Below are 26,017 nucleotides of genomic sequence, written 5' to 3'. Positions count from 1 at the left end.
CTCCCAACGTGCTGGGATTACAGGTGTGAGCCACTGCGCATGGCCCAGGACCTTCTTTAAAGTGGCTGTGTGAACTCGGAACTCAGGCCAGTCTGTCCAGAAAGAGGAAGAGAGAAAAATTTATTTGCTAATCCCTGTCTCTTGCTGGTCAAAGTTCACTCCATGGAGTGTCCAACACTCCTGCACTTCTGAGGCCAAGGGTGTGGGGCCAAGGGGAGAGGAGGTGCAGTTGACTTCTGCCTGGGTGAAGTCAGTTGTCACAGCAGCTGGACAAAACAAGTGGCAAGGAGCTGGAAGACTGGTGTGTCTAACGGATCTTAGGCGATACATTTAAAAGTATCTGATACAGGCCTGGTGCAGTGGCTCACGCCTGCAATCCCAGCACTTTGAGAGACTAAGGCGGGCAGATCACAAGGTCAGTAGATCAAGACCAGCCTGGCTAACATGGTGAAACCCCGTCTCTACTAAAAATATAAAAAATTAGCCAGGCGTGGTGGTGCATGCCTGTAGTCCCAGCTACTTGGGAGGGTGAGGCAGGAGAATCACTTGAACCAGGGAGGCAGAGGTTGCAGCAAGCCGAGATCGTGCCATTGCACTCCAGCCTGGGCGACAGAGCAAGACTCCGTCTCAAAAAAAAAAAAAAATATCGGATACAGCTATAATTGAAAAGTAGTGGGAACCTCTACTAAAAGAAAAGTCAAAACCACCAAGATGCATAATACCAAAGGACCTTCTCAGCTGAAAGATTTCTTGATGCTGGCCACTGAAATTGCAGCTCAGAGAGCTGAGACTAGACTCCCTTCTGATGTGCAGGGCCCATGTTCTCAGATAATCACAAACAAGATCCTGCAAATGTGTACCCCTCAGCTTTACTCTATCCTCCTCCCCCAAATTTCCATGCAATTTAAAGAGCTAATGAAGATGGTGTTTTTAAAGTGTCCTGGTGGGATGGGAAAGAGAGGGGGCTGATAATCCCACCGGACAGGGAGAATTCTCATCTTGTTCATTCAGAAAGGCCCAGCCCCCTGCCAGGTTGGACTCCCCTCCCCTCAAGGGGTAGCAGCGGACTCCAGAAAAAAGGCAGATGTGTTTGTATTTAAGAGATTGGAGGATTAAATGAGCTAGAGAGGCTCCCTCCACACGGCCTCATCCTCTGATGGCTGGAAGCCCACCTCTGAGTGTTATTAAATCGATGATGACATCATGGGCACTGCATGCCCCTCCCTCTGGAGCCCAGCAGGCTTGCAAAGCCTGCAGAGGATAAGAAATTGGGGTCAGAGCGGGAAGCCTCAATCCTTCTTCTCTGGTGTATACCGAGATCGATGTGTAGATCAGATTCACCAGAATTAAATCTGGGGCCCCGTCTGAGTGCTGTCCTTGGCTGACCCTTGGGCACAGTACTTCAGCTCAGGGCCTAGGTTTTTCTCTGCTACAAAACAGAGACAATCACCTGTTCTCCTTACGACCTGGTGTGTGTGGATCAAATGAAACAAGGAAAGCTTTAAAGCAAATGTGTTCTTCAGGGGACCAGGGGCGGAGGGGGGGGATTGAGGTGTGGCCTGTGGGCTGCTAGAGCCCAGGATGGGGCTGATGGAAAATGACTCCCAGGCAGGCAGTCCTAGCCTCCCACAGCCAAGAAAGGACATGCAGGTTCTGACCAAAGGGGAAAGAAATAAATCCAATAAACATCTCCCAAGAAGAAAGACAGGAAAGAAAATAGAATGGAAATAGGCATAGCTCAGACCCCTCATGGTCTGGGAAGCAGACCAAGGATACTGGGCAGGGGAATGGCACATTGCATTTGCATCTGAGGCACATCCCTTCCAAGAGGCACATCCCTTCTGCAGCGGCTTGAGGGCTGGGTGAGAGGAGACAGGACTGGAGACCTGCACATGTCGTGTGCGCCTGGTGTAGCACGGGGGTGGTGGGGAGAATGGGAGTTGGTTGCAGTTGTTCTAGTTAGCGGCCTGGGCTGCTGACAGTGACCGTGGGGAGGAGAGAGTTTGTGACATTGACAGTGGTGTGGAAGGTAACCTTTCTGTGGAGGGAAACCTCAGGTCTCGAGACGGGCTATTGTAAATAACTTAGTCCACCAGTGCTGGGCTCTCTGCTAAGAGTTTCATATAGTCATCACAACTCCAATGTAGTAGATGCAATAGGCATCTTCTTGTTACAGATGAGTAAACTGAAGCTGTGAGGGGTTGAGCCATTTGCCCGCATCACAGCTAGTTCAAAGTGGTACCACTAATGAAGTCCTGGCAATCTGCCCTGCAGGCTGTTCTCAGGTTTGACCTTTGGTTCTGTTTTTCACTTGAGGATGCTGTCCCCTTAGGTTCTGTCTGTCTTGTATGCTCCGGTGACTCACGAGCCTGTCCACTGGGTTCCCAGGTCTCGCCTCAGCTTCAGACCACCGGTCCAACAGCCTTCCTGACCCACCTCAAGCTTAATGCGTTCAAAGATGAATCTTTATTTACACGAAATCTGCTCTAGCCCACTTCCCGGGGGGTGCCTCCACTATCCACCCAGGGGCAGAATCCGGCCACTGCCTGAACTCTTCTCCCCTCACCCCCCACATCCAGAGTCCCAGTCACCATACCTCTCACACGACTCTAGATGTCACCAACTCGCTCCTTCCCACTGTCACCGCCAGCCCCTCACTAGAACATCTGCAACCCACGTGCTGCACCACGCGGGTGCTACACGTGCAGGTCTCCAGTCCTGCCTCCTCTCCTCCACCCGTAAGAACAAGGGAAATCCCACAGAACCCTCTGCCCCGGGGAGCATTTAAATCAGCTTAGTCTATCTCCAGGTCGCTACCCCGCCCCAGCCCAACACCCAGGCCTCAGTCACCCTAGACAGAGATTCCCGTACCCAGGCAGGCAAGGGACCCTAACACATCCCAGCCCGCTGGTGGTCACGCGCGCAGCCCGGACAGGCCAGCAGCCCCCGCCCCGCGAGGACGCCACACTCGCAGCGCCCGGCCCTCCCCTAGCGGAGCCCGCCCCGTCTCCCTCCGCCCCGCCTCCCTCCGCTCCGCTCCGCTCCGCTCCGCCCCGCCCCGGGTCCGCAGCCCCGCCTGTTCCTCCCGAGGGCCGCGCGCTCTCGCCGGCCCGCCCCGAACCGCCCCGCGCTGGGAATTTGCGGCGGCCTCCGCCGGGGCAGCCGAGCTGAACCGGTCTCTTCCTCGGAAAGGCAGGGCCGAGGGGCCTGCGGGGCAGCCATGGAGGCGACGCGGAGGCGGCAGCACCTGGGAGCGACGGGCGGCCCAGGCGCGCAGCTGGGCGCCTCCTTCCTGCAGGCCAGGTGGGCGCGCGCCGGGGTGAGAGGGCGGGCTAGGCGCCTGTGCGCTGGGGCCTCGGGACCCGCCACGTGACGCTCCTAGGGCTGCCGGGCGGGAACCTCGTGTGCGGCGCTGGCCGGGGCGGAGCGGAGCGCGGGGGGCTTGGAGGCGCGCTACCGTGGCGGCGGTGCCCCCGCGTTTCCTTCTCTGTCTGGGGAGCCTGGGGCCCAGCGGGGCTCGGCCTCCCCGCTTCGCCGTTGCTCGGGTGGGAGGAGCGCCCGCCCGAAGTTTGGGGTTTTCCTCCCTTCCCGCGTTCCAGCGACCCGGGCTGGCGCCGGGACAGCCGCTGCGCTGGGAGAGCTCCCCAGGGCGGTGGGTACACACACCTCGTCACTCGGACCCCCAACTTATCCGCAAGTTCCGGGCGCCACCTCCGCGTTCTCGGGGTCCCTCCAGCCCTGAGTAGGACTTGATTCTGTCATTTATCAGGAGGCTGTCTGCTTGACCTGGGGCACCCAAGAATGTGCGAATGTAATGGAAGAGACAGCGGGGAAGGGCGGAAGCTGCCGTCCAGAGAATGAATGAGGAGCCCTTCTCAGTTTTTGGTTTATCTCGTTGGGCGAGCAGAGCTCCATTCTACCTTCGTCCCGTTTTACTGACCAGAAACATTCACTGCATTCAGCAGGCATTCTTTAAGCGCCTGTGGTATGCCCAGCGCTGTGCCAGGCAGTAAGGGGGTAGGCAGGGTGAAGGTGGGAGAGGCTTACGGTCCTGTAGGGATCAGGAGAGACAGAGCCCAAGTGGGAGTGAGCGGTCATCTTGGAGGGCTTCATGGAGGAAGTGGCACTTGAGCTGAGTCTCAGAGGACTTGGTAGGGGACCCAGGGAAGACAGGCTGTTCCATCCAGGGAAACAGTGGGGAAGGGCAAGGAGTTTAGTGGTGCTGGAGCTTTCCGGCTGTAAAAGAAAGTGACAGGAGGATGCAGACTGATTGTGAAGGGCCTTTAATTGCAGCAAGTCTAGGACTCGAGTTGAGGACCTAGATTGCAAAACTTAGGGGTAGGCGCACTGCCGTGACCGTGAGTGCCGCCTCAAATGTTGGGCCTTGGAGGCCTTGCTTGTCTCACCCTAGTTCCTGTCCTAGGTGACAGGTTAAGGACACAGTCTTTATCCCATAGGCACTGGGGAGTCGTGAGAAGTTTCTGAGCACTAGCATGCGCAAAGTCCTTGTTAGGAAGTTTTTGGTACGACCTGGATGAAGGGAGAAGTCTGAGCGCTTGGGCTGAGGTGAGGGATGGCTCGTTTCTGCTGCTGCGGACATGCGGGCTGAGCAGCTGCGGACTGTGTCCGTTTTCACTTAGAAACAATGTACTGGCCATAGACCGCATACTGTAGCTCACCTGTCTCCCTCGGCCTGTGAGTTAAGTATTATTTTACTGATGAGGAAATAGGCTTAGATGGGCTGAGGAGCCTGACTGGCTGAGTCCCCGGGCTGTCTGCCCCACGCCGTGTCCAGTGGTTTCATCTCTGCTGTGACCCAACCCATTTACCAGCTCCCCTCTTCCAGGCAGCCTCTTCTGCCTGCGGGATGTCTCTGTTCCGAATCCTTGCCAAGTTGGGGGTCACTGACTGCCCTGAACTGTGACAGCCCAATGGGAACAGCCTGTGGGTCTCAGATAGGGTCACCACTTTATCTCCTGTGTGGGGCTCCCATGTCTAGCATCTTACTCAGTCTTGACAATGAGCTGCCAGATGTCACTTCCAATGTACAGATGGGGAAATGGAGGCCCAAAGAGGTTACATCATTTGCTGGCAAGAACCAGGGCCTAAACCCAGGGTTTCTGACTTACGGGCTCTGCTCTTACGACTCCACTTTGGCTGCTAAGGAGTCATGTCCCTCTTCCCCTGTGTGAGCTCCCCACCAGCCAGGGTATTCCCAGGGGGGTGGTGTGAGGGTGGGAGCTCTCTGTCTCCCAGGGTGTCTCTGCCCCCCACAATGTGGCTTCAGCCCATTCCCAGTATCATTGCTGCTCAAGAGAGTAGGCAGAATCATCCTGTCCAGTTCCTAGGATGCTTGGATTTCCTCTGCTGCATCCGTGCTTTGCTCACTACCTCTTAAGGTAACCCATTCCAACGTCCACCTGCTTTGTTGCCAGTTTTTGTATTATAATGAAAGTGTTACAATTAGGCCGGGTGCCATGGCTCACGCCTGTAATCCCAGCACTTTGGGAGGCCAAGGTGGGTGGATCACTTGAGTCCAGGAGTTCGAGACCAGCCTGGCCAACATGGAGAATCCCCGTCTCTACTAAAAAATACAAAAATTATCCAGGTGTGATGGCCCATGCCTGTAATCCCAGCTACTCAGGAGGCTGAGGCACCAGGATCCCTTGAGCCTGGGAGGCGGAGGTTGTAGTGAGCCGAGATGGCGCCACTGCACTCCAGCCTGGATGACAGTGAGACTGTCTCAAAAAAAAAAAAAAGTAAAAAAAGAAAAGAAAAGAAAGTATTATAATTAGTGCCCGTGATAAATCAAATAGCAAAGGCTTCAAGTTTTAAAAAGTAGTAATCCCTGTCCCACTCTTCCCTAGCACCAGAGACAATCACCCTAGCTTCTTTTAGCTCTTTTTTCCAGAGTCAAATTCCTATTTCCAAATAATATGTTTATAACAATAAAAAACACTAGCACTTTTTATGGATCAGGCCCTGCTCTTAAGTTTTTGCATGTATTAATTAAACCACGACCCTTGAGATACGATCTACTGGCCAGGTGTGGTGGCTCATGCCTGTAATCCCAGCACTTTGGGAGGCCGAGATGGGCGGATCAGGAGGTCAGGAGTTCAAGACCAGCCTGACCAACATGGAGAAACCCTGTCTCTACTAAAAATACAAAAATTAGCCAGGCATGGTGTCATGCGCATGTAGTCCCAGCTACTCGGGAGGCTGAGGCAGGAGAATTACTTGAACTCAGGAGGCGGAGGTTGCGGTGGGCCAAGATCGCGCCATTATACTCCAGCCTGGGCAACAAGAGTGAGACTCCGTCTCAAAAAAGAAAAAAAAGGGATAGGATCTACTATTATCTCCATTTTACAAATGAGGACATTAAGGCCCAAGAAGTTAAGTGACTTGCTCAAGATCTGGTTAGTGGCAGAGCTGGGATATGAACCCAAACAGTCTCCAAAGTCCAGACTCTTTTTTTTTTTTTTTTTTGAGATGGAGTCTCACACTGTTACCCAGGCTGGAGTGCAGTGGCATGATCTCAGCTCACTGCAATCTCCGCCTCCCGGGTTCAAGCGATTCTCCTGCCTCAGCCTCCCAAGTAGCTGGGATTACAGGTGCTCGGCACCACGCCCAGCTAATTTTTTGTATTTTTAGTAGAGACGGCGTTTCACCATGTTGGCCAGGCTGGTCTCAAACTTCTGACTTTGTGATTCACCCGCCTCAGCCTCCCAAAGTGCTGGGATTACAGGCCTGAGCCACCGCGCCCAGCCAAGTCCACACTCTTAAAAACTACACTCAACTGCTATTTCTTGGTTTATTTTATTTTATTCTTTTTTTGAGATGGAGTTTCACTCTTGTCCCCTAGGCTAGAGTGCAGTGGTGCCATCTTGGCTCACTGCAACCTCCACCTCCAGAGTTCAAGCAATTCTGCCTCAGCCTCCCGAGTAGCTGGGATTACAGGTGCCCACCATCACGCCCATCTAATTTTTGTATTTTTAGTAGAGATGACGTTTCACCGTGTTGGCCAGGCTGGTCTCTAACTCCTGACCTCAGGTGATCCACCTGCCTTGGCCTCCCAAAGTACTGGGATTACAGGCATGAGCCACTGCGCCCAGCCTTTGATTCCTTTTAGAAAAAAGGAAAAATTTTAAAAATTAGCCATGTGTGACAGCACATGCCTTTCTGTGGTCCCAGCTACTCAGGAGGCTGAGATGGGAGGATTGCTTGAGCCTGGGAGGTCAAGGCTGCAATGAGCCATGACTGTGTCACTGCACTCCAGCCTGGGTGACAGAGCAAGACCTTGTCTCCAAAACTAAAATAAAAAGATGATATTAGTCCCCTACCCTAAACTTTAGCTTTCCTCACCCCTTCCTACAATTTCTGTCCTCTGTTTTCATGTTATCAAAGTAGACTATAATTATCTGCTGCTTTAAAACCGTAATTATCTTCCATGTTTTATCTGTGGATTGACTCTAAACATTGAAAATTAATATAAAATGTGTATGTTATTTAAGCCATGTATTTAATAAATATTGTTCCAACAGAGCCAAATAATGTTTAACAGTTACATTTGCTTTCTTATGTTACTTTTGTTTTTCTTGGAGTTTCTAGTTGCCTTTCTTTATTCTCTCATTATATTTGCCTTCATTTCCTTAGTTTTTTTTCTGTTCAAGCTTTTCATTGTCTTGTATGTCACCATTCTTTAAATAGAAGCAAAATTAGTCTCTCTGTGGTCCCCATTTGTGGGTTACCGCTTGACTTGTTCAGGATGAAACCCCTTCCTTTTCTGCCAGGCAGCCCTGCAGATGCTGCTGACTGCCTTGAGGATTTTAAGTGTATGGCATGCACTCCTCAACTGTCGTGGTGTCATTGTCCCCATATGGTAGACTTGGAAAGCTGGGAAGGAGAGAAGAGTCTAACCTTGTTTCAGGTTATCTGCCATTGTGCCATCACCATTGTTTTCAGCAGCATTTGCTAGTGATTGAGACCTAGCTGGCACAGGCTGGGGGCTCAGTGTGCTAAGTCTGTGGAGCCAGGAACTTGGGACAGGGTTGAGGTTGCTCATCCTCAGGACATGAGCTGGGGGAGAGGATGCCTTTACCATTCCATGATCTGCCTCCCGTGGGCAGAGTTCCAGGAGAAGAAAACCAGGCAGGTGCTGATTAATCTTTTTTTTTTTTTTTTTTTTTGAGACAGAGTCTTTTTGTATTGCCCAGGCAGTGCAGTGGTGCCATCTCAGCTCACTGCAACCTCTGCCTGTGAGGTTCAAGCAATTCTCATGCCTCAGCCTCCCCAGTAGCTGAGATTACAGGTGTGCACCACCATGCTGGGCTAATTTTTGTATTTTTAGTAGAGACGGAGTTTCGTCATGTTGGTCAGGCTGGTCTTGAATGCCTGGCCTCATGTGATCTGCCCAGCTCACCCTCCCAAACTGCTGGGATTACAGGCATGAGCCACTGTGCCCAGTCTAATCTTGATTTGCAAGCTGGTTGCTGAGTGTCCACTCTGTGTGCCTGCTTTTTTTTTTTTTTTTTTTTTTTTTGCAATAAGGTCTTACTCTGTCACCCAGGCTAAAGTGCAGTGGTACGGTCATAGCTCACTGCAGCCTTGACCTCCCAGGCTTAAGTGATCATCCTGTTTCTGCCTCCTGAGTAGCTGGAACTACAGATGTGTGCCACCATACCCAGTTAATTTTTAATTTTTAATTTTTAATTTTTTAGAGTTGTTTTTTGTTGTTGTTGTTGTTGTTGTTGTTTTCTTTTTGAGACAGTTTCACTCTTACTGCCCAGGCTGGAGTGCAATGGCGTGATCCTGGCTCACTGCAACCTCCGCCTCCCAGGTTTAAGTGATTGTCCTGCCTCAGCCTCCCAAGTAGCTGGGATTACAGGCGCACACCACCAAGCCTGGCTAATTTAGTATTTTTATATAGAGACAGGGTTTCACTGTGTTGGCCAGGCTGGTCTCGAACTCCTGACCTCAGGTGATCTGTACACCTCAGCCTCCCAAAATGCTGGGAGTACAGGCATGAGCCACTGGGCCCAGCCCCCCTCTTTTTTTTTTTTTCCTGTCCTACTAAGTTAGGCTGGACTAATGACAGGGATTCTCATTGACCAAGGTGCTTCCTGAGGTGGAGGAGGAGGTAGTCACTGAGCCTCTAGTGTATGCTGGGTACACATAACTTCCAGATACACACATCTAAGTGTTCATGCTTCCAAAATCCCTTTATTCCTCGTACCGAACATCCTACTTTTTGCCAAGTTTGGAGGTATCAGAGCAAGAAACTGAAGGCTGTTACCTCTTTCGCCACCCAAGTTCTCTGGGCCTGGAGGTTATCACTCTCTGCTTTTTGAGGCCTTACCCTGATGGCTACTGAGGAAGGAGCTGGGTGGGGCCTCTGTGTTGGTCACTCGTCTCAGACCACTGAGCAGTCCTCAGGGTTACTGGCTATCTGTCCAGTCTGAAGATCGAGCCGCCCGTCCCTTCTCTTTCTCTGGCTCCAGTAAGCCAGGCATCTCAGCTCCATGCAGAACCTTCTTCACTTCCACCTCCAGGCCTTTACCCTGCTTTCCTGCTTTTCTGCCTAGTTAGATTCATCCATCCGTGCTTTGAGGCTCCCTTCCCTCATGCAAGCTTTGTGTATTGCCCTAGGCCACGCTGATCCTTTTCTTTTTTTTTTTCAGTATTTATTGATCATTCTTGGGTGTTTCTCAGAGAGGGGGATGTGGCAGGGTCATAGGATAATAGTGGAGAGAAGGTCAGCAGATAAACACGTGAACAAAGGTCTCTGGTTTTCCTAGGCAGAGGACCCTGCAGCCTTCCTCAGTGTTTATGTCCCTGGGTACTTGAGATTAGGGAGTGGTGATGACTCTTAACGAGCATGCTGCCTTCAAGCATCTGTTTAACAAAGCACATCTTGCACCACCCTTAATCCATTTAACCCTGAGTGGACACAGCACATGTTTCAGAGAGCACGGGGTTGGGGGTAAGGTTATAGACTAACAGCATCCCAAGGCAGAAGAATTTTTCTTAGTACAGAACAAAATGGAGTCTCCTATGTCTACTTCTTTCTACACAGACACAGTAACAATCTGATCTCTCTTTCTTTTCCCCACATTTCCCCCTTTTCTTTTTGACAAAACTGCCATCGTCATCATGGCCCATTCTCAATGGTCGCTGTCTCTTCGGAGCTGTTGGGTACACCTCCCAGACCGGGCGGCCGGGCAGAGGCACTTCTCACTTCCCAGACGGGGCGGCTGGGCAGAGGCGCTCCTCACTTCCCAGACGGGGCGGCCAGGCAGAGGTGCTCCACACCTCCCAGACGGGGCGGCCGGGCAGAGGCGCTCCTCACCTCCCAGACGGGGCGGCCGGGCAGAGGCGCTCCTCACATCCCAGACGATGGGCAGCCGGGCAGAGACGCTCCTCACCTCCCAGACGGGGCGGCCGGGCAGAGGCGCTTCTCACCTCCCAGACAGACGATGGGCAGCCAGGCAGAGGCGCTCCTCACTTCCTAGACGGGGTGGCGGCCAGGCAGAGGTGCTCCTCACTTCCCAGATGGGGCGGCCAGGCAGAAGGGCTCCTAACCTCCCAGACGGGGCGGCTGGGCAGAGGTGCTCCTCACCTCCCAGATGGGGCGGCCGGGCAGAGGGGCTCCTCACCTCCCAGACGGGGCGGCCGGGCAGAAGGGCTCCTCACATCCCAGACGGGGCGGCCGGGCAGAGGGGCTCCTTACTTCCCAGACGGGGTGGCCGGGCAGAGGCGCTCCTCACATCCCAGACGATGGGCAGCCGGGCAGAGGCGCTTCTCACCTCCCAGACAGGGCAGCCGGGCAGAGGGGCTCCTCACTTCCCAGACGGGGCAGCTGGGCAGAGGCGCTCCTCACTTCCCAGACGGGGCGGCCGGGCAGAGGCGCTCCTCACATCCCAGACGATGGGCAGCCAGGCAGAGGCGCTCCTCACTTCCTAGACGGGGCAGCTGGGCAGAGGCGCTCCTCACTTCCCAGACGGGGCGGCCGGGCAGAGGCGCTCCTCACATCCCAGACGATGGGCAGCTGGGCAGAGGCGCTTCTCACCTCCCAGATGGGGTGGCCGGGCAGAGGGGCTCCTCACATCCCAGACGATGGGCGGCCAGGCAGAGACGCTCCTCACTTCCTAGATGGGGTGGCGGCCGGGCAGAGCCTGTAATCTTAGCACTTTTGGAGGCCAAGGCAGGCGGCTGGGAGGTGGAGGTTGTAGCGAGCCGAGATCACGCCACTGCACTCCAGCCTGGGCAACATTGAGCATTGAGTGAGCGAGACTCCGTCTGCAATCCCAGCACCTCGGGAGGCCGAGGCGGGCAGATCACTCGAGGTCAAGAGCTGGAGACCAGCCTGGTCAACACGGCGAAACCCCGTCTCCACCAAAAATACAAAAACCAGTCAGGTGTGGCGGCGTGTGCCTGCGATCCCAGGCACTCGGCAGGCCGAGGCAGGAGAATCACGGGAGCCCGAGGCAGGGAGGTTGCAGGGAGCTGAGATCACGGCAGTACAGTCCAGCCTCAGCAACAGAGGGAGAAGGAAGAAGCGAGGGAGAGGGGGAGGGTTGGGGGAGGGGGGAGGGAGATCCCTTTCTAACCTGATCTCCTGATAAGCCTAGTAATCAAAAACAGAATAGCAAGCTGTTGGCCAGACATGGTGGCTCACAGCTGTAATCCCAGCACTATGGATGGCTGATGTGGGTTGATTATTGAGCCCAGGAATTTGAGGCCAGCCTGGGCAACATAGTGAGACCTCATCTCTACAAAAAATAATAATAATAATAATAATAATAATAAAATAAAATTAGCTGGGCATAGTGGCATGCACCTGTGGTCCCAGTTACTCAGGAGACTGAGGTGGAAGGAATGCTTGAGCCTGGGAGGCCAAGGCTGCAGTGAGCTGTGATCACACCACTGTACTCCAGCCTAGGTGACCCTGTCTCCAAAAAACAAAACAAAAAAACAGAATAGCAAGCTATTAAGAGCACAGGTCTTGAATTAACATAAACCCAGGTTTGAATTGTGTGTGTTATTCAGGACGACTGGGTTGCAAGTGACAGAAAGCCAGTGTGAACTGCACCATCCTTAGCAAAAAGGAATGTGTTGGCTCATATGGCCAGATCATGAACTGGCAACATGAACACTGTCAGCACTTTTTCTCCCCCTTTCCCTGATCCTCTCTGCGAGGCTACTTCATTCTTACCTGGATGTCCCTTGAGGGTGGAACCTTGGCTGTAGGCAGTCCTGGGCTTGCACCCTTAGAACCCAGCACTATAAAGGAAGGAGCTCTTTTCCTCACCTGCAGTTGGAAAAGTCCCACTGGGCCAGTCTAGATCACTGGCCCTTCCTGTGGCTAAGAAAATATCATGTCTTACCAGAAGAAGCAGTGGGTGGGAAATAGGCTGACAAAAGGAATTGTTGCCACAGCTCCTTACTACACGGGTGGCTTTGGCTAAGCACCTAATCCCTCTAAGCCTCAGTATCCTCATCTGTAAAGCAGATGCGTGGATTAGATGAGATAGTGCAGGTAAAGACCTAGCATTGCACATAGTTGGTGTTCAGTGAGGGGGTGGAAGATACCGAGTAGAGGGGACAGGAAGACTTAGCTGACCTAGGGAAGGCCTACCCAACCTGTCTTGCCTGCCACTAGAAAATGAGATTTCTCCCAAGAGCTTGCCTCCCTGTCCTGGGGTACTCTACCAGCCAGTATGGATCATCCTTGGAACTGGCAGGAAGGGATCTCAGAAAATTAGGGAAGCAACAGCAGTATCGACAGAAGACAGTCTTTGCAGTGCCTCTAAGCTAATGTTTGCCACTACAAAAGGAGTAACTGGTCGTTGTGACTGTTTTAATCAGCCAGTAGTTGCTGAGCATGGACCAGGGCCTGAGCTCAGAACTCTGGAGGAATACAGATTTGTGGTCCATGGCGCCTGTTCTTGGCACAAACGAGACGATGAAACCCACACCTCAGTCCTCTTAGGATGTGGCTGGCTGCTTGTCCCTGGAGGTGTGCAAGTAATTGCAGGGACTCTGTAAAGAGGATTTGGACTCTGATAGGGAGGTGGGTGAGTTGGGAGAACCTTAAAGGTCACCCCTGTTCTCGAGGGTCTAGATGGGAGAGTACAGCTCCAGCCCCATTATGCCAGACTGGGTTGGCGTTGAAATGCTCCCTGCAGTGGGCTGGTGGGGCTTTGGGAAAAGCTTCATCAGGGAAGCCTTCCCAGAGGAGGCAGCACTGGTCCTGGAACTTCAGTGCATCTGTGAACAGCAGATGACCAACTGTTTAGTGAGAGGGACAGGCCTCCAAAGATGTATCGTGAGGCAGTACTCCACTTCCTGCTGTGTCTCTCACATCACCTTGCTTCTGCTGGCTCCTTCTCAGGTTCTACTGTGGACTGCTGAGAAGAGGATTACCAGCAGCCCAACCTGACCTCCTCACAGTGCTGGAATCAAGCGAGCAGGAGGCCCTATCCATTTCAGTCTCTCTAAAGCACATTTCATTGGAGGGCTCTGATTGGCCAAGCTCTGGTCACATGCCCATCCCATAGACCAATCCTGATGGACCCAACTATGGGATGGAGGTTAAAAGTATAAGCTCAGGAGCCCAATCATTTGGGTTCAAATCCTTAGCTGTGTGACCTTGAGCAAGTTATTGAGCCTCTTGGGCCTCAGTTTTTTCGTTTCTAAAATGGAGGTAATATTTCAGCCTTGAAAGGTTTCTGTGAGGATTAAATGAGATAATACATGTAAACAGCTAACAGTAGTGCCTGGGATATAGTAAGTGCTCAACTAAGGTCAGCTGCCATGATCCATCATCAAGTTTCATGCTTTTCAGCCACGATTGCGTCCTTTGCCTTTCTTGATTTCCTCCATCTTTCAGTAGCGGAGAAACCCCAGCAATTACACCTGTTCAGCTGTTTCCTTCCTGAATCAGAGAGAAGCTAAGGTCGGGGCAGCTGAAGTCCACCTTCTCCTTGACCACAGGGCCAGACCCCAGTATATCCAGCAAAACCCTATCCATAGAACTCAATTATGTGTGTCTCCTCCTGTCCTCAAGTCCCCAGACCTCTTTGTGGCTAATCTCAGGGGAAGATTTTGGTGGAGGAGGAGAGAAGAGCTGACTTCTCTCGTCTGGTTCCTTCCCAGGCATGGCTCTGTGAGCGCTGATGAGGCTGCCCGCACGGCTCCCTTCCACCTCGACCTCTGGTTCTACTTCACACTGCAGAACTGGGTTCTGGACTTTGGGCGTCCCATTGCCATGGTGAGTGTGAAATGGTGCACAGGGCTCTGACCAGCACTGAGGACACTTAGTGTGGCTTGAATTTGCCGAGTGACCTTAGACAAGTCACTTCTCCTTTATCTCCTAGTAAACTGAGAGAATAGGCCTGGATGCCTTCATATCCTTAGCTCTATGACTTGGCCCGTCAGGCAACTGCCAGCAAGTGGGGGGCCTGAAGAGTCATACTTTGCCCCAACTCTCATGGGGGAACTGGTGGTCCTGAACAGTCATACTGTAATACTGTAACCCCCTCTGGCCTGTGTCTGGAAGCAGGTGAACCAGGTTGAACCAAATCACCAAGACAGACAAAGGGGTATAGGAAAGGAAGTGGAGCACCGCACCCCCACCTCCGTCTCCCCTGTCCTTCCCCATTACCTTGGGATAGTATTATTTTTTCTGGAGTTGAAGGGCGTAGGCTGATTTTGCATATTATATATGACTGTGAGCCATGGGTAATTTTTAATGCCATCCAGTGAAACCATCCCCTGCCTTCCAAGGCTACTTCATGCTTTAGTATCCAGTGGTGGCCTCCACAGACAAGATTAATGCTGGGAGGGCACCAGTGCCCCTTGCTTGTAGTGGGAGGATGGAAGATAGATAGGTAGGTAGGTAGGTAGGTAGGTAGGTAGGTAGGTAGGTAGGTAGATAATTGACAGATGATAGATAATAAATAGACGAACGTGAAGAAAATTAAGTGAGATATCACCAGGTATCAAGTCATTATTTGGTAGTGGGGGCACAGTGTGACTATTCATGGCCCCCAGACCCCTCCCACCCAACTTGCTGACAGTTGCCTGACGGGCCACAGTCATAGAGCCAAAAGATATGAAGGCATCCAGGCCTATACTCTCAGTTTACTGGAAGATAAACGGGAAGTGACTTTTCGAAGGTCACTCAGCAAATTCAAGTGTAAAAATAACAATATCCAGTGCTGAAACTGGCACTTTGTACATACTAGTGATCATGCAAATTAGCAAAGCCCTTTTGGGGCCGGGCATGGTGGCTCATGCCTATAATCCTAGCACTTTGGGAAGCTGAAACAGGAACATCACTTGAGCCCAGGAGTTTGAGATCAGTCAGGGCAATATAATGAGACCCTGTCTCTATAAAAGATTTGTAAATTAGCTGGGTGTGGTGATGTGCACCTGTAGTCCCAGCTACTCAGGACTGAGCTGGGAAGATCTCCTGAGCCTGGGAAGTTGAGGCTGCAGTGAGCCGTGATCACACCGCTGCACTCCAGCCTGGGCAACACAGTGAGACCCTGTCTCAAAAAACAAAACAAACAAAAAGCAAAGCCTTTTTGGAAAGCAGTAATAATTCATAAGTAACAACTTGGCAAGATTAGTACTTAGAATAGTGCCTAACACAATAAGTGTTTAATGCATTTTTACTGAATGAATAATAATTATAGCAAAGTTAGAATAGTGGCTAACATCGAATGTTTACTCTGTTCTAAGCTCTTTATGTGTTTCAGTTTATTTAATTCTCATATCAACACTATTGCTGATCTCAATGTTATAGATGAGGAAACTTGAGGAGAGAGAGAATAAGTAACTGGCTCGAGGTCAAGCATAGAGGCCAGCATCTGCCCAGGCATTCTGGCCCTGGAGCCCCTTTCTGACAAGGTTGAATTCTCTGTCACATAAATATCCAGAATCCTAATATATTCATCCCTCTGACCCAGTAATACCCTTCCGAGAATCTGCCCGTAGGGATATAATCAGCAAGAAGACAGCAGTTTCCTCTAACTCAAAGATGTTCATTGCAGTGGTGTTTATGATAGCCAAACCTTAGAAGTGACTTGCGTGTCCAGCATTAGGGACTGGGTAAATCAGTTTTGCTATGTCCATTATAGAGAATGTTTCCTGGCAATTAAGCAGAAATTATGGATACTATAGAGCAACCTGGAATATTTAAGGAGAAAAAAGGTTCCTAAATGACATGCAGACTGACTAATTGCAAGTCAATAACGAGCTTGTCTACCTGGGATCAAAGACTTGATAGGTGTAAAGAAAAGCTGTCCTGGCAATGCTGTCAGGGAGTGATGGTGGGTGCTGGTTCTCCTTCCTGCAGTCTTTTTGAAGGTTGCCTTTTAAATGTGGAAAAATAAGAGGAATTGAGCCAAGAGTTGGGGCATCTGGTTGGGTTTGTGGGTGACCTAGGGCAAGTCACTGTCCTGGGCTTCATTTCTCTCTCCAAGAAGACTGGCTGGACTGGCTGCTCTGAACCTTCTTCTAGCATGAAGGAACCACATACTGGGGGCCAAAGAAGCTGCCCATCAAACTGGTGCTAGAGAGAGAGATGAGGCCAGGAGTGGGCTCGTGGCTCCCTTCACTCACTAGGACCCAGCTTCTACTGGCATAACAGGGTCTCCTATTGGGCAAATCACTTCCCCCATCCTGCTTAGAGCTGCTGTGACCACTGTAACCCTAAGTAGGACTTGGTGGAACGTAGACATTTGAAAAGCTCTTGTATACGCTAGAGATTTTCAAATGTATGCATAATAGTTGCAAATTTGTTAAAAACAAAAACATTTACAAGTTATAAAAGTAACATGTCATAGATGTAACATAGTTGTAACATAAAGAAGTGTTAGACTCTCCCTACCCCTTTCCTGTCCCACTGCTGACAGTTTCGGGAACACCCCTTTCACTCTTCTCTGCTTGTACAAACACATATATACATCCTTTTCCCTTCTAACCATAATGGGATTTTGCTTTATACTTTATTTTGCAACCTGCTTGTTTTCCTTTAGAATATATCATATGGTGGGCATGGTGGCATGTAATTCCAGCACTTTGGGAGGCCAAGGCAGGAGGATTGCCTGAGGCCAGTCCTGGCAACATAGCAAGACCCTGTTTTTACAAATAATTTAAAAATTAATGGTGCTTGGTGCCTGGCACCTGTAATGCCAGCACTTTGGGAGGTCAAGGTGGGAGGATCGCTTGAGCCCAGGAGTTTGTGACCAGCCTGGTCAACATAAGGAGACCTCATCTCAATAAAAAAGAAAAAAGAAAAAAAAATATAGCTCTCTCTCCATGTCAGTACATATAAGGTGTCATTTCTGTTAATGGCTACTTAACCTTCCATGGTAAGAAGTACTATCAGGGATTCAACTGGTCCTGTTTGATTGAAGAGTCAGCCTATTTCTGATGTTTTGCTATCACAGAGTATTTTAGCAAGTATATATATGATGTAGGTAAAGAGGCAGATAAACACATGCACACTGAGTAAGAGAGAGAGAGAGAGACTGAGATTGCTGCATTCTGTGAGTTTTATTTCTGCGGGTTTAGTTTATCCAATATGGCATTTCTGTGTTAAAAGAGAGAACCATCTAAATCCTTCCTTGAAACTTGTGGGCCTTATGTGTGTTTTCAATCAACAGATACTAGAAGTACAGTTTGGGGGTTGTGAAATGCTTTAACCCCGCATAGGGGTTTTCACACTGGCCTGGACAAGGCCAGGGCTCAGAAGAGAGAGCATTGCAGAAGGAGGAACTGCCCCTGGCCTGCCTTCCTCTCTCTGGGAAGGAAGAGTTGCAGCTACTTTGTAGAGCATTCTTGTTTTCTCCTTTGTCTCCTAACGTGTACTTTGAACCTGGTTTGGAAGCAGTCCCTCCACATCAGGGCCTAGCACTCAGGAGACTGATCTGGCACTCAGGAGCGCCAGAACCCGAACGGTCCAAGTAGGCCCTCTGGGCCACCTCTCTTGTGTTATAGATGGGGAAACCAAGGCCCAGAGAAGGGAAGTATTAGCCCAGGGTCACCCAGCAAGTTGGTGCCACAACGGAGTCCCTGAGAAGCCTACCAACTCCCAAGCTGGCATCAGGGTCATTTATTTGGTATCTGCTGGGTGAGGGGCACAGGGTCAGGCCTTGACTGGAATTGCATCTGCTCTGTGTCTGGGGACAAGTCCGTTACCTCCTCTGGGACTCAGCTTTCCTGTCTGGATAAACCTTTGTCCCAAGGCTGCCGAGAAGGTCCAGCGATCACAGGAAGAATTAAGTGTACATGATGGGGTGGGGGGTGAAAGGAGTTGGGGTGGGCGGCATTAGGGGCAGACTCCCTTGAGGCCCGAGGGCCGCGTGGGGCTGTGCCCAGGTGAGCCCATTCTTCCATTTGCTCCGCAGCTGGTATTCCCTCTCGAGTGGTTTCCACTCAACAAGCCCAGTGTTGGGGACTACTTCCACATGGCCTACAACGTCATCACGCCCTTTCTCTTGCTCAAGGTACTGTCCCAGGGCCCCCACTCTCTCCTGTCATCCCCATTCTTTGCACACCTGGCAGGAAGGTGATGCTAAGCCCTGTGTCCTGACTCAAGCACGCTCCTGCCTGCTGCTGGGGGGTGAAGGCTGTGACAGAGCAGCATGTCCAGGGCCTGGGGCCCGGGGAAGGCGGAGCTGCCGGTGGCCTGGAGGGATGGAAAATATGCCCCAAGAAAGGGCTTTTGATTTGAGCCTCAGCCTGGCGTGCCAGTGGGGGAAGCAGAGAGGTGTTCAGGTAGAAGGACCTAAAGACAAGGCTGTGCTTGGGAAACCGTAAAACATTTGGGGAGGCTGAGGCAGAAGTGACTGGAGGTCCAGGGAGAGGTCAAGGACCCACTGGGAAGAGAGGAAGAAGCCAGGTGGCAGGAGAGGCAGCAGCAGCAGCTGAACTCCATCCTCTGCCCTGGAGAGCCCTGAGATGTCACTGGGAGCACTAGCAGGAACTGCTGGCTTTGCACTTTGCCAAGTAAGGCCTTTAAAACTACTATAGGTTGAGCATCCCTAATCCAAAAATCTGAAATCTGAAATGCTCCAAAGGAGTCTGAAATTTTTTAAGCACTGGCATGATACTATAAGTAGAAAACTCGGCCAGGCGCGGTGGCTGGAGCCTGTAATCCCAGCACTTTGGGAGGCTGAGGTGGGTGGATCACTTGAGGTCAGGAGCCTGGCCAACATGGTGAAACCCCCGTCTCCATTAAAAATAGAAAAAATTGGCCAGGCGCAGTGGCTCATGCGTGTAATCCCAGCACTTTGGGAGGCTGAGGCGGGCGGATCACCTGATGTCAGGAGTTCGAGACCAGCCTGGCCAACATGGTGAAACTCCATCTCTACTAAAAATACAAAAAAAAGTAGCCGGGCATGCTGGCAGGCACCTGTAGTCCCAGCTACTCGGGAGGCTGAGGCCAGAGAATCACTTGAACCCGGGAGGTAGAGGTTGCAGTGAGCCAAGATCACGCCATTGCACTCCGGCCCGGGCAAGACAGTGAGACTTCATCTCAAAAAAAAGAAAAAGAAAAAAATACAAAAAACTTAGGGCCGGCATGGTGGCTTACGCCTGTAAGCCCAGCACTCTGGGAGCCCAAGGCAGGCAGATCACTTGAGGTCAGGAGTTCGAGACCAGCCTGGCCAACATGGCAAAACCTCATCTCCATTAAAAATACAAAAAAGTTAGCCAGGTGCGGTGGTGTGCGCCTGCAGTCCCAGCTACTTGGGAGGCTGAGGCAGGAGAATCACTTGAATCCAGGAGGTAGAGGTTGCAGTGAGCCGAGATTCCACCACCGCACTCCAGCCTGGGCGATGGAGCAACACTCTGTCTCAAAAAAGAAAATTCTACACATATGTACTTAACACAAACTTTGTTTCATGTACAAAATTATTTAAAATGTTATATAAAATTAACTTCAGGCTGTGTATGTAAAGTATATAGGAAATATAAATGAATTTTTCCAGGCATGGTGGCTCACACCTGTAATCTCAATACTTTGGGAGGCTGATACAGGAGGATCACTTGAGGCCAGTAGTTTGAGACCAGCCTGGGCAACATAGTAAGACCCTATCTCTACAAAAAATTTAAAAATTAGCTGGGCATAATGGTGCACACCTGTAGTTCCAGCTACTCTGGGGGCTGAGGTGGGAGGATCTCTTGAGCCACTATACTCCAGCCTGAGTGACAGAGTGAGACCCTGTCTCAAAGAAAAATGAAAGAAATGAATTTCATGTTTAGACTTGCATATGCATTCCCAAGATATCTCATTGTGTATATGCAAATATTCCAAAATCTGAAATTTGAAACATTTCAGATAAGGGATGCTCAGCCTGTATCACCATTTACTATCACCATCATTTTGTATTGAAGAAAGATACTTCAAATCTCCAGAAGTAGGAGGGGTATAATCCCAGAACTCCGGTGTGTTTTCAGTTAAACAGTGGCATTTCAGAAGCACCTGCCCCCATCCCTGACATTTTCTTCATGTTTGCTGGGACCACTCAGAAATCAGAAGGTGCCTTCAGCAGGCTGGGCCAGCCACCCAGGGACACAGCCAGGGACAGTGGGAGGGCTGGGCCTGAGCCTGGACTCCTGCACTGAAGGCTGGGCTGTCCCCTCCAGCCTACAGCTCATGTGTGACTTTGGGAAAGGAGTTGGGCCCTCTGGTCTTTTTGCTCCCTGGGTAAAGTCAGCGGGGGGTGCTGCTCCACATTCCCTCCGGGGTTCATAGGGGTCACGGGAGGATCTGGAGGCTGGGCTGGCCTGCTAAAGGGACCAGCCACTTTTTGGAGTGACATTCCAGCTGGAAGCGTCCATCCCACCCCAGGTGTGAGGGGGGAAGCAGAGGGTGTCACATACTGTGACAGAGGTGGGGTCATGCTGCCAACCCCACTCTGAACCCCAGCTCATCGAGCGGTCCCCCCGCACCCTGCCACGCTCCATCACGTACGTGAGCATCATCATCTTCATCATGGGTGCCAGCATCCACCTGGTGGGTGACTCTGTCAACCACCGCCTGCTCTTCAGTGGCTACCAGCACCACCTGTCTGTCCGTGAGAACCCCATCATCAAGAATCTCAAGCCGGAGACGCTGGTGAGGCCACCTCCTGCTCCCTGCCTGTAAGCCCTAGGAGCACAGTCTGTCCTGGGAGGCTGAAGAAATGGCCCCCACCCCTCGCCGCACCTGTCCTTTCACCAAAGGCATTCTGCTAGGTGAGGGCACTGTCGCCTGCCCCAAGCTAGGATGCTCAAGTGTTCTTAGGAAGTGGTGCACAGACTGCCTCCCACCTGGGCCCCTGTAACAGAAGGCGAGGCCCCGGGTAGGGAATAAGGCAGTGGGGGAGGCCTGGGACTGGGAGAAGGGTGGTCAGAGGGGATGCTTGGGGCCCCAGCACCTCCCTGGACTGACATCGACATCCCCCGACTCTGCCCTGCCCGTTCCTCCCTCAGATCGACTCCTTTGAGCTGCTCTACTATTATGATGAGTACCTGGGTCACTGCATGTGGTGAGTGATGGGCCCATCTGTCTATCCCAGGGGCCCCAACTACCGGCTAGCCCTGTCACTGGCTCAGGGACACACTGAGCAAGGCTGTCTGGGCTGCGGGTCTCCATGTGTTGAGTCTCATCCCCTGTAAAGGCACTGTGAGCTCAACCTCCAGTGAAGTTGTCCCCGAGGTTGCCCGGGAGACCCAGCTGCTGTCCCAGGCTCCAGGCCCCGGCTTCCAGCCAGCATCCCCCCAGCATCGCCACCCCCGCCCAGCCCTCAGTGCCCGCTGTGGCCAGCAGAGGGCAGCGAGTGGCTTTGGTCCTTCCTCGCCAAGCCTGAGCCCTGAGGGTGGGGGAGGAGGACGCGTCCCTGATAAACAACCCCCAGATGGTGATGGCAGGGGGTGGGGGCACAGCCAGGGACCCCCACCCGTGTCGGGCCTGCTCTTTGGGAGTGGAGGAAGCTGCGGGGAGCCAGCTGGATCAGGCTGGGGAGGGGCGTGCTGTTTGCGCTCCCCCCTCTTCAGAACTCCCAGAGGGGCACCTTTTCCTACCTACCCCGTCCCTCAGTCGGGGGAGACCTCAGAAATGTGGTCTCAGCCTCAGGAGATCCCGGGCCCAGGCTGGGAGGCTTCATCTGTTCCACCCTCCCATCTTACCCAGGAGAAACTGAGGCCAGAGGGAGGAGGGCTCCGAAGGCTGCAGCTGGGAGGTGAGGGCCAGCCCTGGACCCGGCTCACTCCTGAGTTGGTGCTCACAGCACACGCACCCTGCACGGGCATTTCCAGGGTGTTTCGGGCCCTGCGATGTCAATCCTCCTGGCTCAGCTGGTCCAGGGTCCCTGGACAGGCCTCCTGCCATCTTTCCCTGGCCTTTGCCAGAGCCTCTTCCCACAGAAGGTTGGGGAAGGGTGGAGGGGCTAGGAACAGAGAGCTGGAGCCCCAGCAGGAAGGGGGTGTGGGTGAGAAGAGGCAGGCGGGTATACTGGTGAAAGCACAGGTGGGAGAAAGGGAGCCGGTGTGTGGAGAGGGGAGAGGGTAGTATTTTGGGGTGAGGTGTCTGAGGTGGGGGTGGGGCTGTGTGCTGAGAGTGGGTGCAGTGCTTCACCAAGAGGCCCCTGCAGGTGCTGTTCTCTTTTTTAACATGTGGACCTCCATCCTCAGCCCGGGAGGTGCCTCTGTCTCCAGGCTAGTGTGGTGCTGGGCTGCTGGTGTCTGCGGTGCATGAGACAGACAACCCCCCAGACACCCCTTACCCCCACGGAGTGAGTGAGGTGCCCTGGGCGGTGTGGATGCCTCTGGGCCTCTGACTCACACGTGCGTTGCCTTCCTGTTTCTGTTTCTGTCCCACCTTTGACGCCCAGCACAGGCAAGGTTGGGTGGAGAGGAGCGCCTCTCACCCAGGCTAGGCGTTTTGTAAACTGTGACGTGGCACTCCATGAGACCCCATGGGAGTGGTTGCAGAGGTTGTGGGGAAGAGGGCCGCTGAGCAGGCCTCTAAGACACTGGCCTTCCTGTCACAGGTACATCCCCTTCTTCCTCATCCTCTTCATGTACTTCAGCGGCTGCTTTACTGCCTCTAAAGCTGAGAGCTTGATTCCAGGGCCTGCCCTGCTCCTGGTGGCACCCAGTGGCCTGTACTACTGGTGAGTGGACATCAGCATGGGGGCAGAGGCAGGGGCACTGAGAGAGCCACGGCAGCAAAATTCTGCACTTGCCAATGGACCTGCTGTGTGGCCCCAGGGAGACTGGCCCTCTTTGGGCCCGTGCTTCTTCTTGTGTCTAGTGGGGACTGTGACAATGCCCTGTGGTGGCCTCTTTGTTTCCATGAAGCCCAGGCCTGGGTGTGGCAGGGAGGTGGGAGGAGAGGGCGAGGTTGCACAGTCTGTCTCCATCCTCAAGCCCCTCTCGCTCTGTGCCCCATCTCAAGAACCCCAGTGTTGCCCTGGGGCCGGTACAATCCACCTCCGACACCAAGCCCTGTAGTGGGCTGCGGTTTCCACCTCTGTGAAGTGGGGATGATGGTACCTGCCTGTCTGCCTCTCAGATGATGAGGATGCTGAGGACAGAGAGGGGCTTTGTCAAATGTAAAGCACTATGGCGAGGCCAGACTGGGGGGTTTCATGGCGTAGGGGCTTCTGGCCTTGGGTCTTTGTTCCCTCTGGCTCTCTCTTCTTCCCATTGCAGAGGACTTAGGCCTCAGCCAGTCTCCTAGCCCTCGTCTGTCACTTCTGCCCTGGAGACAGGTCACCCTGGGATTGTGGGTATCATGGGAAGGACAGGGTCGGGGCAGGACTGGACCCTTCTCTGATGGGAGGCCTCCCTCAAAATGAAAAGGGCCTCCTTTCCTGGGCCAGCTCTAGATCCTCTCCCCGGCCTGTCCCCTATGTGGCTGAGATGGCCCACTGGGGCTCATCTGTATGCTCTCTGGGGATTAAAAAGAATGGGTGGCAGCTACAGTGAGCGGGAAAGACGTTAGGGGAGCGCTTCCTGCTGGTTCTTACCCCGGCATCCTGCCGCGGGGGTGGCTGCCGTCGTAATGGCAATTGTTTGTTGCTTTCTCCTCTAGTCAGTTTTTGTTGTGTGGAAGTATAAACTTAATGTGACCAGAGAAGCCAGAAATATACATTTGTAGGTATTCTGTTATTTAAATATTGGCAACAAACTCAACATTTAAAAAACAGTAACTATACCAGCTAAATCAATATGCTGCCCATGGGCTGTGGCTTAGAGCGGCATAGTTCTCTGAGCCCTGGCACCAGAGGACTCTTCTGCCTGCCTGGAGGGCAGCCTGGCTCTCGCACACAGGAAGGGATGCCAGGCAGGACGGGGTTGCCACGGCAGCTGCCTCACTCACCCCTGGCCTTTCCAGGTACCTGGTCACCGAGGGCCAGATCTTCATCCTCTTCATCTTCACCTTCTTCGCCATGCTGGCCCTCGTCCTGCACCAGAAGCGCAAGCGCCTCTTCCTGGACAGCAACGGCCTCTTCCTCTTCTCCTCCTTCGCACTGACCCTCTTGCTTGTGGCGCTCTGGGTCGCCTGGCTGTGGAATGACCCTGTTCTCAGGAAGAAGTACCCGGGTGTCATCTACGTCCCTGAGCCCTGGGCTTTCTACACCCTTCACGTCAGCAGTCGGCACTGAGTCCCTGGCACCAGGCTCTGGCGCTCTGCTGGGTGGGAGGGTGGGCCATGGAGGGCATCTGAATACAGGAGTAGGGGGGGTGTGGGTGTGTAACCAGAGACCGAGAGCATGAGTGGGGTGTGCCTCGTGTGCGTGGATTCGTGTGTGTGTGTGTGTGTGTCTTGTATATGTGTGCGCAGAGTGCATCATTTTCAGACTCTACTATTTCCGTCAAGTTTCTGTTTGATTTGGATCATCTCAGGATCGGATTCTGTTTTAGAGTGTTTCTGGGCCAGGATCCGGGCCCCTGCCCTCCTCTGCACCTGACCACACTCCCTACTCAGGGCTAGTCTGTTCTTCCCGGACATCTTCTGGTAGCCGTGCAGGAGAGGGCTGGGTGGGGCAGAGGCCAGGAGGGGACCTGGTGTGTCACCTGCCCACCACCTGGCTCATCCCTCAGGCCCACCCTGACCCTACATTACATAGGTTACGTCAGCCTACTGTGGCTGTTGAGCAAAGCATTTCTCCTTTCTGGGCCTCATTTGCACTAGATGGGCCTGTGGTCCCAAAGTAGGTCAGTAGGTTGGGGTTGCTGACACCCCTTGGGTGCAGCTTTGGGACAGATGAGTGGCTCTGTCCTGTCACTGCCCTCTCCCTGCCTGGGGGCTATGTGCACTCCAGACCCCTGCCCAGGCTCAGGCCCATGAGGTATGGAGACACCCTGGCCCCCAGGAGCTGGAGGCACCGCCCACTCCCCTGGCATTCCAGCTTTGCAGGTGACCCTCCTCTACCCAAAGCTCTGTCCCCCTGCTCCCACTCCAGAAGAACTGCGGCACGCGCTTCGGGCAGCCTAGCCACAGGCTTTGAGCGCCTGCATTCCTGGGGGCTGGAGGGTGGGGTGCCAAAGGCCCTGAGCAAAAGCCAGAGCTCCTCTCATCAAAGCCTTTACAAGGTGCTGGGCCCAGAGGCTTTGCCTTGACAGAGTGGCCCAGGGTTTCAAGGGAGGAGGAACCTCCCCCTACCTAGGACCCTTCCTGTGGGGGGTCTACAGAGTCAGGGACAGAAGGGAAGGGACCCACAGGAAGTCACAGTGGTGCCCAGGGATGTGTCAGCCCCCAGCCACGGGGACGCGGGATTCAAGAATGAAGTAAATACAGTCACAGCCCCAAGTGGTGTTAGAGGTGTTTTTTGTCTTTTCTCCCTTTCGTGCTGAGGTGTAGCACACACGGTGCGCCCTACAGCATGGTGAGTTGCTGTATCGTGAACCCTCACGCAGCCATTGCCCCACGCTGGTGTTTTCCATCTGTGCGTCACCCCCGGAGACACCTACACACATAAGGAGGGAGTTGGCCGGGGCACCCCAGCACACACTG

General features: G+C 52.8%; 1 protein-coding gene across 2 annotated transcripts in view, besides 7 other annotated features; it reads left to right on the top strand.

Annotated features, from left to right (window-relative positions):
- Positions 1–25,813, top strand: part of CLN6 (CLN6 transmembrane ER protein) — a 50,220-nt gene extending 24,407 nt beyond the window's left edge. Inside the window, exons 1-7 of one of the 2 annotated variants that reach the window (NM_017882.3) lie at positions 3,077–3,303; positions 14,155–14,269; positions 18,417–18,515; positions 20,942–21,130; positions 21,487–21,542; positions 23,046–23,168; positions 24,395–25,813. In NM_017882.3, the coding sequence (NP_060352.1) occupies positions 3,221–3,303; positions 14,155–14,269; positions 18,417–18,515; positions 20,942–21,130; positions 21,487–21,542; positions 23,046–23,168; positions 24,395–24,665 (936 nt within the window). In that variant the 5' untranslated portion in view covers positions 3,077–3,220 and the 3' untranslated portion in view covers positions 24,666–25,813. Of the gene's footprint in view, positions 1–3,076; positions 3,304–14,154; positions 14,270–18,416; positions 18,516–20,941; positions 21,131–21,486; positions 21,543–23,045; positions 23,169–24,394 lie in introns of those variants that run through there. The other variant, NM_001411068.1, reaches the window with a different exon arrangement.
- Positions 2,333–2,382: an enhancer, noted in NCBI's record as "active region_9643". NCBI's record gives its function as "activates an Ori minimal core promoter by ATAC-STARR-seq in GM12878 lymphoblastoid cells {active_cell/tissue: GM12878}" and the evidence as "EXISTENCE:reporter gene assay evidence [ECO:0000049][PMID:35858748]".
- Positions 2,983–3,572: a silencer, noted in NCBI's record as "silent region_6585". NCBI's record gives its function as "represses an Ori minimal core promoter by ATAC-STARR-seq in GM12878 lymphoblastoid cells {active_cell/tissue: GM12878}" and the evidence as "EXISTENCE:reporter gene assay evidence [ECO:0000049][PMID:35858748]".
- Positions 3,034–3,213: a silencer, noted in NCBI's record as "fragment chr15:68521930-68522109 (GRCh37/hg19 assembly coordinates)". NCBI's record gives its function as "represses an EF-1alpha promoter that drives an FKBP-Casp9 reporter gene in an ReSE screen in K562 erythroleukemia cells {active_cell/tissue: K562}" and the evidence as "EXISTENCE:reporter gene assay evidence [ECO:0000049][PMID:32094911]".
- Positions 3,613–3,692: an enhancer, noted in NCBI's record as "active region_9642". NCBI's record gives its function as "activates an Ori minimal core promoter by ATAC-STARR-seq in GM12878 lymphoblastoid cells {active_cell/tissue: GM12878}" and the evidence as "EXISTENCE:reporter gene assay evidence [ECO:0000049][PMID:35858748]".
- Positions 3,723–3,792: an enhancer, noted in NCBI's record as "active region_9641". NCBI's record gives its function as "activates an Ori minimal core promoter by ATAC-STARR-seq in GM12878 lymphoblastoid cells {active_cell/tissue: GM12878}" and the evidence as "EXISTENCE:reporter gene assay evidence [ECO:0000049][PMID:35858748]".
- Positions 21,067–21,607: an enhancer, noted in NCBI's record as "H3K4me1 hESC enhancer chr15:68503536-68504076 (GRCh37/hg19 assembly coordinates)". NCBI's record gives its function as "activates a minimal SCP1, AML or CMV promoter by ChIP-STARR-seq in primed H9 embryonic stem cells {active_cell/tissue: H9 hESC(primed)}" and the evidence as "EXISTENCE:reporter gene assay evidence [ECO:0000049][PMID:30033119]".
- Positions 21,798–21,897: a silencer, noted in NCBI's record as "silent region_6584". NCBI's record gives its function as "represses an Ori minimal core promoter by ATAC-STARR-seq in GM12878 lymphoblastoid cells {active_cell/tissue: GM12878}" and the evidence as "EXISTENCE:reporter gene assay evidence [ECO:0000049][PMID:35858748]".

This window comes from Homo sapiens, chromosome 15 (assembly GCF_000001405.40).
Source record: "Homo sapiens chromosome 15, GRCh38.p14 Primary Assembly".
NCBI lineage: Eukaryota > Metazoa > Chordata > Mammalia > Primates > Hominidae > Homo > Homo sapiens.
This window is presented reverse-complemented; position numbering and strand designations above follow the sequence as displayed.